Consider the following 16,616-nt stretch of genomic DNA (forward strand, 5'->3'; position numbering starts at 1 on the left):
TGTGTGTGATATATACATATATATATATATATTTTTTTTTCCTGTGACTTACAGGTGAACCTAAACTTACATGGTACCCCATGGTTAGAACCTACATTTTATTCCAATCCATGGGGAAACTATTGGAGACTTTTGAGCCAGGAAGTGACAGAAATTGTTTCACTTTTTAATAGACTCATTCTGCTGCTATGAGCGAGGAGACTGGGCCCAAAGGAACAAGAATGGACACAGGAAAGGTCAGCTGAGGTTATGGCAGGTATCCAGGTGCATGAAGATGGTGGCTTGGACCAGGTGGCCATGGTGGAGAGAACAGGAAATGATCATCCTTAATATGAATTAGGATGAGTGTGATTAATAGAGGTGAGGAGAAAAGTCGCAAACACATATATACACACATGCATATGTATATGCATATGTGTATGTATATATGTATATATTATACATTTGACTTAGAGACATAGATCTGATTTTCCCATATAATATTTTCTTAAAACAGGTCATTTCATAGTTCCTATCTCCTTAGCTCACTTCCCCATGTTTCCAGTAGTTTAGTGAACAGCACCTCAATTGTTTGTATAGAATCCATCATAAAGCAAGAATTAGGAAGACTTTTTAAAATTCTCATATTTACAATGAGAATAAATGAGGCAGAAGAAAGTGGTGCAACTTTCTATAATTCATCCCAGTGAATAAGTTTGACACCTGGTATTAAAGGATCTGAAAATATTGAAGCTTCAGTGAAAAGCAGATTCCTCCGAAGCAATTGTTAAAGACTTCTTAAGGAAAAAAAATCAGCATTGCATTTATATGTGTTATTTTACATAAGTATATCCCTCTGTTTCTCTTAATAATTCCAACATATGCTTTAGCTCATGGTTGGCATCTGAAATAGCATTTGATAATACACATGGCAACATAGAGAAATAGATTTAAGAAATGTAAAATAAGGCTAAAACAATTGAAAGGGGATCAAATCCAGGGGAAATGTTGCACCAGGGTGTACAGATTATGGCTCTTTGATGGTTCCTGAGAGGGAAGTAAAGCTTTAACTCAGGGTTTCCTAGCGAGAAGGAAACACAGTTTATTACATGTTTCTCATTGTCCATAAGAAGAAAACATACCAGCTATAAAGGGGCCATGAAGGTGTTCCCGCCATTGAGATCTGAAAGAAAAATATTATGAACAGTTTTAGAACAGAAATAATTACCCTGTAGGCTGACTTCTGCAGTTTCACTGATAAGCATTATGGAGTCAATTTTCTCTTTTTTTTTTTTTTCTGAAAAGTTGTGGTTGTGTGCATTTTTTCCCTCTGGATGGGGTCCACGGTTTTAATTATATTTTCAAAACGGTGAAAAGCTCTCAAACTGTTAAGCATCATTTACATAGAAAATAATGCAGTAGGCAGCATTCTCCAGGCCATAAAAGCTGCAATAAATGTGGCAGCAGGCTTCCCAAAGCTTTCCATTTATATAGGTTTCTTAGCAAAGTTGAGGGTCTGACAATTTTATTTTTATTCCTTACTCTATTTACTCTCCCCCTTTGTTGTCTTTATTATCAGCATATGCTTCCTTCAAATGATGTCATTATCACGATGTTCATTTTAGTGTAGTTATTAAAAGCATGGGCCCAGGGGCCAGAAAGCCCACCTGTAAATTCTGCCTTCACCACTCCCTCACTGTGTGCTGTGGGATGGGTGGCTTCTTGTTTCTGTGTCTCATTTTTCTTGTCTGTAAAATGGGGCTAGTAATAGATAACAGGACAGCATTGTGATGAGATTTACGTGAAATGGAAAGCACATATGTCCACGTCAGTCATGTCGCACATGCTCAGGAAGTTGAGTCCTTTCTTGATGTTGCCTTCACAGTCATTGTTATCATGGACTTTCCTTTCGACGTGCCAGAAGACATCTCACACATCAGGTTACTTAAAATGTGGGGCATTCTAATATTTTTATTCAAATATTTATAGCCATCAAATAGAGAAGTTTACAATCATCCTCACCTCCACATAACTGATCTTGATTTAGGACTGTGCACATTTAGCTTTCACAGTCAGTGTGTATGCGTCTATCCCAGAGTGGGGGACACCATTGTGTACAATGAGGAAAACACAGGTGCCTCAATTCATCTGTCCACTCAATGTGTCCCTGCCCAGCAAGAGGCCACGTGAGTCTCAGAGCCCCTCTGTTGATCCCTTTCTTTGAGACTCTTTTCATTCTTGTCCTTAGAGACAAGATGCTCTGCATGTGTGTGTGTGTGTGTGTGTGTGTGTGTGTGTGTGTGTGTGTGTAGTTGTTTAACTGTTTTACAACTTGGTACTTTAAACTCAAGATCTTCGACTGGGGCTCAGCAGAAACAGCAGTAATCTGTTGCAATGCTGAAGGAAAAGCCAGCTGTGCCAAATATATTGCAATACAGAACTTTACCATCTTTAAGGGAGGTTTTGGTTTAAAGAGACTTTTTAGGAATAATTTGATGCTAGGTGCATTCTGCTTCCATGTAGACGTTAGAGATTGAGCCCTTTTTATATGAGGCTTCACTGAACACTCAAACTGAAGTCAGAGATTCCCTTAGGGGAATGGCAATGGCTGAGTTTTAGGTAAGATGCAACTCTGTATGACTGAGTAGTTTAGCCAGTTCTACATCTGCCCATCCTCACCCCAAACACACCTTATTCCCAGAGAGATTGGAAACATAATCACCAAAGTCAGATGAAAATATGCCTTCAATCTGCAGCTCTGGAGAGTCATTCCATTCCACAGTCTCTCTGTGAAAAAAAATGTCAGAGTAAAAAACATTCTGAATTTTGTTAATTTCTTTCTCTCAAAATTATGGTTCTAATTCTCCTTGCCAATCTATCTGCACACAAACATGCAAACATACACACACACACACACACAAACACGTGTGTGTATGTTTATATAATACATACAATTTCTATTACTCCTGGCAGTTATATTCCAATGAATTAACACATACTGAAGCATTGCTCCTAGGGAAACTGCAGAGATAGGTTTCTCTTAGTCTTTGTTTGCAAAGTTTTCATCAACTGATCAATATATAATTTATTTTATGTGTACTTCTGTATAAAGATACTCTATTTAATATAGATTATTGATTCATTAACATTGAATTCACAGCTGACAACACTGCATAGCTCATGCCTGAGCAAAGTTTATCTAACACAAACAGCAAAGTTAGTCTCAAAATGAACAAAAATAGGAAAAGCATGGAACTGAGCAGACCACAGAAGGACCCTTGCTTACAGAGCTGGACAGGAAGTGAGGGCACTGCCTTTTTTGACCTCAGTTTGGATGATTCACATTTTTTTGCTGCTCTGCCCATGTACAAAAATGACTTCAGATGTTCCACAGGTATTGATTTGGGGGTTAAAAATAAGGGTTAGTAAGGAGCCAAATTTGCAAATACGGAATGTCAATAATGAAAATTGACTTTGTATGTGTGCATGTGTGTGTGTGTGTGTACATGCATATATAGGAGTGACAAGTGGCTGGCCCAATTCAAATTTATATTGATTAGATAGTAGCTACTTATAGCCTTTGCATGGTCCCATAAGATGCATTCTTTTTGTAGCTGAGGAAATTTAACTGTTTTCTACCATAAAAATTGTTGTAGTCATCTGCAATAAGGAAGTAGAATAATGTAATAAGGATTGTCCGAGTCCTTGAAAGAGACAGCTCTTATTAGTTTTGTCTTAGGCTTTGGGGTAGGAGAGTGTGTAGGACAGATTCTATTGAGGATTTTCATGGAAAACTCAGCTAGGGAAAGGAACAGGTTTCATTATTTTTTCAAATTAATGAGCCAGGTTCTTTCATTTCTGTCTTTGAGGTACAGGAAGGAATTCAGAGTGGTGTTACTGAGTGGATTCCGGATATCCGGCAAAATTGGAGAAGTTCTAATTTATGGAGAAGTTATAAATTATGTTCATCCATATGAAAAGTATGAACTGAATGGAAGGACTACTGGTGTAACCTCTTTTGTCACTGGAAAGTTATTGACTAGATATTTCAGTCTTTACAAAAGAATTCCAGAAAGATGGATGTCTTCATTATCTCGTCTGTAGTTGGTCAATTTTTATAAAATCCAAACTTTTCTTCTTCCCTTTTTCTCTTGTTGATAAGGATTGGACTTTCTATGGTTTATCCTTCCCTCTCTTAAGGTAGATGCTTCTTTTTTAAAAACCTAAGACTTGAGACTTCACAGGCCTCCATGGACTGTTTTTCCATATGCCCCATGTAATGGGAGCTGTCTAGGTACAGGAATGTCCTTTCACAGTGGTTCCTATGGTGCTGCTTTCCTCTCCCAGCTTCAGAAAAGGACACCTGGCACCTCTGAGTTCCTCACTGGTGGTGGCAGCAGGGCTTTGACATCCCCAGTTCTTATATCCTTACATAATCCATTGAGTGTAAGAAATAGTCTTCTGGTAGCTCCTGCACACATTCTGAAGGCCACTCTTTCTTGCATTGTCCCATACTCAGTGATAAACTGTGTTGCAGGGTCCTCAAAACTACCCCCAGATTCACTTATTCTCTATAAGAACTCAAGGGATTCAGCACACAGGCTTACCTGCAGCTGTGAATTATCATAACAAAAGATGTAAAGCAAAATCAGCAAAGAGAACAGGCTCACAGAGCAAAGTCTATAGATCGCTGGCACAAGCTTCCAGGAATCCCCTCCCACTGCAGTCGTCCAAGGGTGGGTGCCAGCTTTTGCATCCTATGGTAACAGCATTGTGAAATGTAGACCAGGGAAGCTCATTAGAAAAGCAGCACCCGAGGTCTTTGCTGAGGTCTGGTTGCCTAGGTACTTTCTGCCTATCATGTACCCAAATCCGAAACTCTAAGGAAGGAAGCAAGTGTTCAGCATAGACTGTTCTTTGTGCGAAGAGTTTTATCACAGTGTACCATTCTTCTTAGTTAGTGAATGCTGGAAACTCTCACAAAATCCAAGTTTCCAGAGAGCAGTCAAAGGACAACCTTATAAGCAGATCTTTCTAAGGACAGCAGTCTCAGGCCTCCTACATCCTTTTCTGCACACATAACCACCCTTGACCTAATCAAAGATTAAGTCCAAAGGGCGATACAGAGAATGTTAATTTCCTTAAGCAAATCAGGATTACTAAGATGTTTCCTTGTGTTTTGGATTTTGGCTCGACAAATCCCATTTAAGATTGTGCAGAAGAGACCCCCTGCCCTCCTTGTTGACCTGTTAACAACAAAAGGCTGAAAACAGAGCACAGGCTAACATACCGTTGCCATGACTACCTGTGTGACAAACATCTTAATGGCATTTCGCTGAGATGCTTCAGGTATTGGGCTTTGGAAAAGGGGTGGCTAAATAGAACTAAAGACCTTGTGGCACTCAGCGCCCAGTGGTGCACGAAATATCCAGTTAATGCCCTCAGTGATAGCCATTCGTTTTTTACCAAGGGTAGTAGAAGACGAAATGGGTTCATGCTACCATGAGTTGGTTTGGATACTCACAGAAAGAATGGTCCCTTCAGGCATTATTCAACTTCCACAGCTCCTGCTCACTCTCAGCCACTGTGCTGTGTCTCTGCCACCATGACACGGAACAGCTTTCACCAAGTGAGTGAAGTCCATTACTAAATTCGATGGTTGCTTCTGACTGGTTAGTTCCCTCGAGGCCTCAGTAACATTTGACATTAATACTGATGCCCTTTGTAAAGCTCTCTATGGCTGTGTTCTCACTCTTTGATCACAGGATCTGTTTATCCTTACATTGTTGAAAACCACCCCACCAAAAAAACCATTTTGCTTATAAACATTGATATTTATTAGAAATTAAAATGGAGAAATTTCATGATGTTGTTTCTCCAGTTTGTTGCAATATCACCTTTCCGGTAGCCTCCGGAAATCTCCATTCTGCATTCATGTGCTCATGAGAATGAAATCAACAAATAACACCTTAGTATCCATATAGAGATATTTTGGCTTGTGTGGACCTCCTACAAGGGTCATGGGAGCCCCGAGAGTTTGTGGACCTCACTTTGAGAATCACTGTTCTACATAATTCCTGTGGCTGTTTTTAACACCATGGGCTTCTGTCTTCCTCCTACCTTCCTGGCTCCTGCTTCTTGTTAGGTTTCCAAGGGAAGGTGAGGGTTAAAGACACACATAGAGCGAGAGGGCGGCTCAACAGCAAATGCAGGTATTTATGTCCAGGTAAACCTGCCGAGGTGGAGGACCAGCTTAATGCCAGTGCCCACCACTGCTTACAGGCTGGGATACTTGTAGGTATGGCAGGGAGGGGTCTGGGCAGTATGGCGTGCTGCCAGGGAAGATGTTGAGAAGACGTTCCCACAATGAGGCAGTTGGGGCCTTGTTCCCACAGAATGTAATAATGATGTTCCTTGGACTTTTTCTCAGCAGAATGTGTTAAAGTCAGGCGGTTGGGCAGGCAGGTTCTCATGGCCCGAACCCTCGTGGAATGTTTCACTTTGACCAAGGTCTGCATATTGGCAGGGAGCTTACAAAATGGTGCATTTTGGATTAACAGGTCTCAGTCTTGGGCTCCTCGTTGTCTGACAGATCCTAAATCTTGGCCCCTGCTGTTCCAGGTTCTCTTCTCATCATGCATGTTCTCTGGGTAATTTCATTCACTCCTAAGGCTTAAAACATCATCTCTCTGCTGAAGGCTTCTAAATCTCTTTCCCTAGCTCGGAGCCCTTTTCTGAGATTCAGATCCATGTGTAGTTTGATCTGGTGGGCACTGGTACTTTTGTATTCCACAGGTATCTTTGGCAACTATCTACTTCTTTCTATCTTCAGGGCTATTCTTTCAGGGTCATTCTAGCAGTCCCTAGCAGAGTTTACTGTCCTTGTCCCCGCCTGCTTTTGGTCCATTCTCCATCATTGTAGAGAGATATATTTAATCAAATCTTCTCATTCATGATTAGGTCATGTCAGTGCCTTTCCATTAGTCTTTGGATAAAGGCTAAGCATTTTAAAATGCTTAATGGCTTTTTGTGATATGACTCTTACCTAAAACTCTCCAGCTTGTGTTTTGCAGTTTGTCCCTTCTCTTGAACTTCATCTTTCAGTCACACTGAACTTTCAGGCTCTCCTAATGGCTATGTGTTCTCATCCTCTGGGCATTTACCTCTGCTGTTCCAGGAAATGGTCTTCAACATCTTCAGATACCTAGAAGGTTTGCCCCTCAGTGGGAAGAAAGCTTCCAACTCCCAGCGGTTCCAGCAGAAGTCCTGGGGCTGGAGAGCTGTTCCTGAGTTGCCTGTGATCACATACCACACCTGATGGCATCACTGTATCCAGGCTCCAGGTGCATAGAATGTTGTGAGGTCATGACTGCCAGCATTATGACCAGTCTTGGAACTAGGATTGGGGTGGGGTTCATCCCACCCAGACCACAGAGACTGAAAATAAGAAAGGGGTGAGGCCTAAGGGACAATCAGGATGTTTTTCAGAGAGAAGTGTGGATGCTGGACAGGAAGAACCACAGATACCAGATACGGGTACTGTTGTAACTCTGTTCTCCATGAAAAGTAATTTGCTTTTGCTTGATACTAATCTTTTTGCCCTCATACTCTTGTGCGTGGAGTTTATCTATCCACCTCCAACAGACACTCACACACCTCCCAGTCATTTCTTATCCTTCAAAACCAGCTCAGACATGTGCTTTTCCAGAGAAAAGATTGACGTTCTTCCCTCCCAGGCTGACTTTCCATATGCAAAGTACACATGTAGACACTGCAATGCATTACACACAGCATTTGATTTGTGGGTCTGTCTTCTCCACCACATGAGCTGACCAGAAATCATGCCATCTACATTTCCACATCCTCAACAAGTAGTTAAGACCTGGCACAGAGGAAGTAGTGCTTGATTAGGTTTGGGGAATAAGGGATATAGTTTTTTTGTTGTTTGTTTGTTTTTCGAGATGGTGTTTCACTCTTGTTTCCCAGGCTGGAGTGCAATGGCGCGATTTCGGCTCACCGCAACCTCCTGGGTTCAAGCGATTCTCCCAGTTTCCTCCAAGGCTCTTGTGTAAACTGTTCTTATTGAGACTTTGGGTTGGAGATTTCTAAGGCTTGTGGGATAATAAATCTTCTATTTTTTTTCTTGAGTTCCTCTTTATAGGTTTTATTCCACAGACATTTCCTGAAACTTTACTAATTAAAACAATGATGAGGCCTGCTTTGGGTACTTAACAGGACTGTCTACTAGGGGACACAAGAGAAGGACATGACAGAGCCTGTGACTTTTACCAGCCATCAGTTCAAAGGGAAACTTGCAAACAGCCTGCAGCTGGTTGAAGGATCAGGAAGGAAATAGTTCATCTGAGCACAGCCTCTGGAGCCTGAGTTCAAATCCTAACTCACCCCTTGTTAGTTTTGTGCCAGTGGGCAAACTTCTTAACCTCATATGACTCAGTAGATGCAAAGTACTTAACTCATGCTTGATGTATAGTTAGCAATTAATAGTTAAGATTAATTTAATTACCTATTTGTGATTATTTCAAACTCATTTATCTCTTCTTTTTCTAAACTCTGACAATAGTTAAAACTGTATAAAGCAATTTTAGCAGTGCATAATGCATTTTCATTTATGCATCAGTATTTATTGTGAGCATATGTCTTCTCTTCCCAACTATATTATTTGTTTCCAGGGATAATACTGTGTCTTCCACTGTGGATATGTGTTGGCTGTGTCATACGTGTAACAGCGGCCTTTACATAATTAGCTCTGATAGAAATGATACTTACATCTGTTTTTTTCTGTAACATAAGTTAAACATAATATAACAGTAATATAATACCATGAAAAAGACGGCAGGAGTGACAGTTAAGCTCCTGAGCTGACACTGTTTCAACTCTTAAGAAGCACCCATTAATACATCAACAAGTGTTATGGCCATTTTTAAACAGTCTTAATTTCCTTAAGGTAGTTGCGTTAATCTTCTGGTACTGCCATAAAATACCATAGGCTGGGTGGCTTAAATTTTATTTTCTCACTATTCTGGAGACTGGAAGCCCAAGAGCAAAGTGCCTGCTGATTAGTTCCAGGGCTTTCTTCCCAGCTTGCAGACAACCACCTTCTCACAGTGTCTTCACGTGGCAGAGAGAAATAGCGAGCGTTCTGCTATCTCTCCTTATAAGGATCCTATCAGACTACCACCTACTTTAACCTTAATTACTTCATTACTCCAAACTCAGCCAGATTGGATGTTAGGGCTTCAACATACGAATTTTGGGGGACACAGTTCAGTCCATAGCAGAGGTCTTTCCACAAGAAAAAAGCAACATGATTGTTCTATCTCTCTAGTTTTTGTAAATCAGTCCATACAAGAAACTGGCTTCCCCAAGTTATCCTGGATGACTTGTATTTTACCTTTTTAACAAACAAATTAAATTACCATATTGATGAGGAGTCAATGCCTAGATCGGGGCTATAAACTCACCCTGGGTCCTGGTATTCAAATGTATCATGGGGATTCTGTCTCCATCTCCAGTGCTGCTTTCCCCAATGTCGGCCTTGTTCTCACACAGTTCCCTGAAGGGGTGACAGGAAGGCCAGGCAGGGGACACAAATGAGGCAAGCAGTCTGGGCATGGGCAGCAGGGAATGGTGGGGACTGCAGCGAACCTTAGGACAGAGGCCCCATGTAAAGGGCTCAGCAGCCACTGAGGGCCATCTGACTAGTGCCAGGAAAAATGTATGTCCCACTTTCCAGATCTTTTTATATTTTCAAAGAAAAGCTAGAGAGCTGGATTTTTTAAAGATTGACAACTAATTAGATGTTAAAAATTGTGTTAGATTAGAAGAAAAATGTCATCTAGCATGGGATCTATTTTGGATCTCTAGCCTAAGCTTTTGGAGGAAATTGGTAAAACTGCCAAGATCACATTGGTCGGGGGTTAACTTATGTCTGATTTTTTCATTGCTACTGAGCTTATTACTGAGGACCCAGTGTCATAAAGTATTTCTATTAGATCATTCATGGCACTGGGTTCAGACAGTCTAATCTTACAATGCTAAAAAAAAAAGAGTCAATTCCAACAGTAACTTTTTTCTCCAGAATAATTGCTTAAATATCTGGTACACTCTGAGGGCACTCTTGGTTTCTCTTTTTTAACAAGATTACTGAGTTGAATAAGTCAGATTATGTTATTATTTCACTATTTTGTTTGGGTTTGGGAATGAACAATTGTTAATTTTTTTCTGCTTAGCATTCCTTTGCCCTTCCTGTCCTAACAGTATCTAAGAATGCTATGGAAAAACACCACCTGTCCCCTACCTTCCAGCTTTGTACTTCAGAAAAACTGACCCTTTTTTAGGCCTCGGTAGGGGGCCTCCTGGCATAGGCTGGGCTACTCAATATAGTCTCCCCCTAGGCCACAGTGATAGGGTTAGTGACGACACATGACCCACTAGAGACAATGACATGCTGCATGGCTTATTCCTTCTTCTACTGTGACTTGTGGAAAAGGAACCCTAACCAGTTCTTGATGGACTGAACAACATTTAGGAGATGGTGTTCTTGTCACCTTGTGGAGCTTAAGCAAAAAGCCACACCATGGAAAGCAGGACTGAGAAATGAATGAAAAAGCATGTTGGTGCCATTGGTTGCACCTGAATCCATCTGAGCCTGAAGCCAGTCTACTCCTAGTGACTGCATGTTTTATAGAATTCTTTTAAAAGAATCCTTACTGATATACATAATGGCCAAAGAAGAGGAAGATCAGTCTCAATTAGTGAGAAGTCCAAAGCAAATGGACTCTGTGGATGGTCCCATCAAAATGAAGTCAAAGGTTAAGGGCACATTTAAGTTGTCTCATGGTGTGTTTTTGGTGGGTGGATAGACTATAAAATCCCACTTAGCACAGAGAAAACAAACTGAACCTCAGAGGACTTACGTGGTTTCTCTCAGTACCTACAGTGGGCTCATGCAGGCCTGGGGCTCCAGCTCAGGTGTCTCAGCTTCTCAGGGCATCAGCTGCCTCCTATTCAGGTAGTGACAGAGCTACTAGGATTGCTCAGTGAACATCCATATACCAGCTCCTAGATTCAACAGTTAATATTTTACAATGTTTGCTCATCACGTATCTATCCATCTGGTCCACTGTCCACCCTTTAATCCATCTTATTTCATGTTTTAATTGGAGGTCATCTTACTTGATGCACAGATTTTTATTCATTTGGCAAATATGTAAGACCTCCCTCTAGGCACTTGGGATGAAACAGTGAGCTAAATACCAAAACGTTTCCTCTCAGGAGGCTGGACATTTTGGGGGGATTGATGATTGATAGAAGAGTAACAAAACGTATACATAGGACATTTTTAGGCGGCAATAAATGTTTTTAAGGAAACAGAATAGGATGAAATGACTGAATCTCTAAGACACATTCCAGCTAGGAAAACAAAAAACATTCTAGGTATTTTAACAGAGGGATTTAATACAGGGATTATTTACCCAGGTGTAGAAAAGCTAAAAAAAAGCTTAATATTTCTTGAGAAAAGAACGCAGAGGTTAAGAGTTGCAAGAAACTGTTACCACTCCTATGGTTGGAGGGACAGAGGGAAGAGGTGATACTGCTAGTGCGCAAGTACGGGGACTGTTTGGTGGAAGTTAGAACCATAGTCGTAGCTGTCCTGGATGATGTTGCTGGAGGATATGAGAAGACGGTAAGGGGAGCTCTCAAGGAGTTGGAACCACATAGGAGACAAAGCCATTAGCAGAAAATGCTGCAAGAAGCAGGAAGAAAAACACATACTCGAGTTCTTCCTTCTTCTTCTCCTCCAACCTTGCACCAGTGCCTCCAAATTGGCTGAACCTGCTGAAAGCCGGTGGGAGAGAGCCTGGGAAATGTATTTCGGAGGCATACACAACAGAGGAAGGTGTCTGGGGGCCCAGGACAAACCGGCAGTTGACAGCGTAGTGGCTTTTCAGAAACAAGTCTTGTCAGAAATGTGACTTTTTCTGGGGAAAATTGGACTAGAAGCGAGAACAAGAACTGTTTTCTGGGAATTCCCTCTATGGGAAAGTCATGGTGGTATCGACTGTAGATTGGCAGATGACAGAGGGCCTCTTTGAGGGGGTGCCAGATGGCTGAGGATGCCTGACCAGGGGCTGACATCTCTGCACACATCCTGGTGGAGAGGTTTCCAGGCTGAGCAAGGAGCCAGTAACAGCCATGAAGACAGCACAGAGGAAGCTGTGTCAAAAAATCAGAAACCGATATTTCAGACAAGCCTGGTTACAAAATTATGAGGAACCTTTGGCCCTTTCCTTCACCCTAAGCAGTGACATCAACACCATCACCCCGGATGAATATCAGTTTACTTACCGAGGCTCCTTCAAGCTCTTGGCAGGCAAGACCATGGACCCAAGAGGGTATGTAACTGTGTATTGTCAGCGACTCCACACGGCTACATTTCGGTATTTAATGAGGCATTGATCTTGCTGGAGATTTTTGAAAGTCTGGCCAGCTGGCCCATTGGAAGGAGACCTGAGCTTGGTTCTCTGTGCCTGAGTCGTTGGCTGTCTATGCTACAGGAACTGCCTCAGCTGTGGAAATGCCATGAATCCTTTTCCCCGTTGGCCATGCAGCAGGTAATTAGCTTTATAGAGATGTGGGGAGGATATGGCAGGCCTTCAGGTCTGCGGGTTGTATCAGGGGCCCTGTCACACTGCCGGAGTGTTTGCATTCAGGGCTTCCTCAATCCTGACAGAGGCACATTTCCAGGGATGATGTATGTGTTCCAAGCACAGCTACAAATGAGACAGTTAAGTCCGTGGAAGCGCTGTGGGCCGCAGTCTCCTGCCAGGGTTCCCAAGACCCTGGGAGTGGCTTCCTTCCAATGGGCCATTAGCTTTCCCCCGAAGCTCTTTGAGGCTTCTCTGGAGCCAGCTTCTCTTGGCACCGCCGGGCTGGAGGAAGCTTCTCCCATAGCGCTTGTCTGGCAAGCCTCACAGATTCACTCTGTCTTTCTCTGAACCTCTATGCTTGATTCTCTCTGTAGCTCATAACCAGGCCAGTAATGAGACACCCTGTTGAGCTGGGCCTCATTAAGACTTTCTTCTTCTCTCTTCCCAGGACATACTTTATTCAGCTGGGTGCTGAAAAAGAATCTTGGAAATTAGGAAACTGAATGAGGCCTCATTTCACACTCAGAATGTGGGTTGCAATAGTCACTTCCTCTGCTGCTGGGAAAGAAAGAATTATACTACCTTTTGAATTTTGGATTAAGGAGAGAGGTGTTGGCTTGTCAAACTACCATGTATTCCTCAAGACATATTTTTGTGGCTTTATAAAATTCAATATATATGTCTAAATTCAAAAATATTTTGTTGCAATCTGGCCCTTGGACAAACTGAGGCCCTAGCAACTGATGTTTATGGCTTTCCGTAGAACCTTTCAGATAAAATTTACACAGCATTTTACTGCAGCTATTTCACACAAAGCAGAGGATTTTGCCACAAAACTGAAAGAAAAAAGAAACTGCATTCTTAAATTTTTCATAAATCAAAAGGTATAAAAATATCTACCTAAACGATAAAGGAGATGAGAAACCCCACCCATGATGGGAAGAAAGCCTATTTCAGTTTTGCCTTTACTTCAAGTTCTTTTTTCCATATCTGGAATGCAATCAGAATTTTAATCTTGCCTTGGGTTCCTCCTGGATTTGGGGAGAAGACAAAACCTGAAAATCTCTAATCTGCATGTGTTCAGCTGCGTATCTTCTGGATACGGAAGGATCACACTGCACAGAGTGCTGGACTTGCAGGAGCCCCGCTTCTCAACCTCCATCGCTTTATGAATGAATTCACCAGAAAGGTAACTGGCCACTTTTACAAGGGGAAATAAACCAACTAAACGTGACATTGGATTTTTCCCAGATTCTTTATTAATGGTGCTTCTGCATCGCTTTACCTTTTCAAGTATAAGTTACAGCAGATAATTCTTCTGAGAATGATCTCCTAAGGCATGTCTTCCTCTTTGCATTTTTATCTGGACCCTGTCCCATCTATAGGGTCACATTTTTTATTAGAAATGTTGCTGAAGATCCCCTCAAAATAACAAATACGTGTGACATAATTATATATGCTTTATGTATTTTACATATACACGTGTACACTTGTGTAAGGAATTATTAGTTTTGGTTAAATAGTATTTTATATATGCTGCTTCATATAACACATTGCAAATGCTTCCCGTGAGATTATATTATCTTCAAGTCATGGTTCTGATGGAGATTTAATATCCTATTTATAGCATGTCTGAACCACATTTATTTAATCATTTTAATGATGGATATTCAGGTTGCTTTCAAAGGCTTCTTGCTGTCATAAATAATGGTTACCATGAACATCTTGGCACATATATCTCTTTCCAAAATGTTTGATTATTTCCATAGAATAAGTTATTAGATGATGAACTAGAAATATACACTTTAAAAAGTATATCCTGATTTCTTTATGCAGTCCCTTATTAATTACCATTTAATGCTAATTATTAATAAAGACAATAGCAAGGGGATATTTATGATTTAAACATGCCAGTAACTCTTCTAAGTGCTTTAGCATAGGAGTTCATATGATGCTTACAATCACCCAGCAAGGCTGAATCTATTATCATCCCGTGTCCTATGTGAGAAACCTTGAATCACAGGAAGACGAAGCAGCTTGCCCAGGATTGTTCCGCTTATAAATATCAGATTCCAATTCAGGAACATGGCTACAGCATATTTGCTGTTTATTTGGTTTGATGTTATAAGTGATACTGCAGTTAATATGCTTGAGTTTCAATCTTTAGGCACCCTCAGTAGCAGCTATGTGGCATGACTTTTAATTTTTATAGAATGGAAGATTCTAGAAGTGTAAATGTTCTCCCACAGCATTATTCACATTTTAGTGGAAATGATGGAGATATCTGAATGTCTCCTTAACAGGTTCCCCAAGTAGATGCAACATAAAGGGATGATGGAAATAAGCAAGAAGTTCTCAAGTATCAGCATGCCACATTCCACAGGCGGGATGTCAAAAATAGTTTTGGGTGATGGGCAGCTTACTGTGCATAAGGTTTGCAAACAAACGATATTGATTCCTGTTTTTCTTTCCTTTAAGAAAAGGAAGAATCAACACTTTCAGAGATGGAGCCTGTTGAGCCACAGTACCAACTAGTCAATGCTGAATCGACTTCTCCCTTTCTACATTGCCTGAGAGAAGTCATTGGGGAATACTCTGTACACGAATTTTCACTGTTGGGGAAAACAGGTATTGGAAGTGATGGGTAGACCTCAGTTTGTATGCATTGTGTTAATTACTATTTCTTTGCTTTTCCTTTTTTTGTGCGGTTGCAGAGAGTCAAGGGATTGGATTGTGGATTGCATTGGTGGTTTTCCTCAGTTTCCTCATCTTCTCCACAAGTTTCTACATATCGAATGCAGAGCAGCCCTTCTTCAAAGGACCTCCTACGGAAGCTGCTAAGGAACTCAGTCTGTAGCTCTGCGTGGAGCCATGTGTAAACACTGAACTGAGACCTGCCACCTCCTACTACCTAAGGGCCCATTTTCATCTGATATCATCCCCCAGAAACAAACTCATGATGACTTCCATGTTTTTTTTAGATTAGATACATGGAGAATTTTCCTTTCCCTTAGAATTAAAATCCTGCATTCTAATTTTCAGTAAGCTTTTTTATTTCTGAATAATTTTAAATTTAAAGAGAAGTTGCAAAGATAGTATAGAATGTTCCCTTATACCTGTTTTTATTTAGAGTGATGTTCCCAGGAGAAATGATAATGCAGCAATGGACAAGAACAGGAACAAGAGACAGTCTTACCATCTTCTTACAATTTATAGATGGGACAGTGGAAAGAGAAGCCACATCGGGGTTGGGCATGCAGAGACCTGGTCCTAAATCTGTGTGACTTTTGCGAAATCCTTTTGCCTCACAGAGCTCTAGGTTCTTATCTGTCAAACAGGAACCAGACCATCAGATCCGTAGAGATCCAACCAATGAAGGAGACTTCGAAAACTTCACATTGCCGTGTCAATGTGAGGTTGCTGGATGGTTATGACAAGAAATCACATTAAATTCACTGGGGTAACATTGTTCATGAAACGGGATAATGTGTTTCAGCGATGAACCACCCATGGCCTTACTACAGACATATTTCCACTTTGAAAATGTGTGTGAGTGTACATGTCTGTGTGTGAGGCAGAGATTAGAAAGTGTAAATGTGTGCGTTTTCATTTTACACATCTTACATTTTCCTTTAATTTGTTTGAAAGCCTGTTTTGTTTGTGGCTTCCATTCCTGGAAGTCCCATGAGTTGTTAGTGGTGAAGATGGAACAGATGTGTCCAACCCGGGGGACTCCTGCCCTCAGGGACTGAGCAGCTGCAAACCTCTCTCTCATCTGATTCCACTGTTTCTTCCACATGTACACATCATGAGAAATATTGTTCAATCAATATCTTCCCTTAAATCAACTCATATGCTTATTTACATGAATTTACCTAAAACAGAAACTTGATATCACTTCTGTAAATGAAAAAATTAAACTTTCTGGCTTTAAATAAAGCATAACAATAATAATCATGTCAAAAT

General features: G+C 41.0%; 2 long non-coding RNA genes across 2 annotated transcripts in view, besides 1 other annotated feature; one reads left to right on the plus strand and one right to left on the minus strand.

Moving 5' to 3' along the window:
* Positions 1-1,059: 1,059 nt before the first annotated feature.
* Positions 1,060-16,616, minus strand: part of LINC00944 (long intergenic non-protein coding RNA 944) — a 41,562-nt gene continuing 26,005 nt past the window's right edge. The window contains exons 4-5 of the long non-coding RNA NR_033878.1: positions 2,702-2,766; positions 1,060-1,162 (exon numbers count right to left, since the gene is read on the minus strand). This is a non-coding gene — a long non-coding RNA (long intergenic non-protein coding RNA 944). The remainder of the gene's footprint in view (positions 1,163-2,701; positions 2,767-16,616) is intronic.
* LINC00943 (long intergenic non-protein coding RNA 943) lies at positions 7,366-16,615 on the plus strand. The gene is made up of 4 exons (NR_038256.1): positions 7,366-7,515; positions 13,099-13,839; positions 15,129-15,247; positions 15,365-16,615. It is a non-coding gene; the product is annotated as a long intergenic non-protein coding RNA 943 (long non-coding RNA).
* Positions 11,917-13,116: an enhancer, noted in NCBI's record as "CDK7 strongly-dependent group 2 enhancer chr12:127226104-127227303 (GRCh37/hg19 assembly coordinates)". NCBI's record gives its function as "activates an origin of replication core promoter dependent on BRD2, BRD4, P300/CBP, MED14 and CDK7 cofactors, with strong dependence on CDK7, by STARR-seq in HCT116 cells {active_cell/tissue: HCT116}" and the evidence as "EXISTENCE:reporter gene assay evidence [ECO:0000049][PMID:35650434]".

Source organism: Homo sapiens, chromosome 12 (assembly GCF_000001405.40).
Source record: "Homo sapiens chromosome 12, GRCh38.p14 Primary Assembly".
In the NCBI taxonomy this organism is placed as follows: domain Eukaryota; kingdom Metazoa; phylum Chordata; class Mammalia; order Primates; family Hominidae; genus Homo; species Homo sapiens.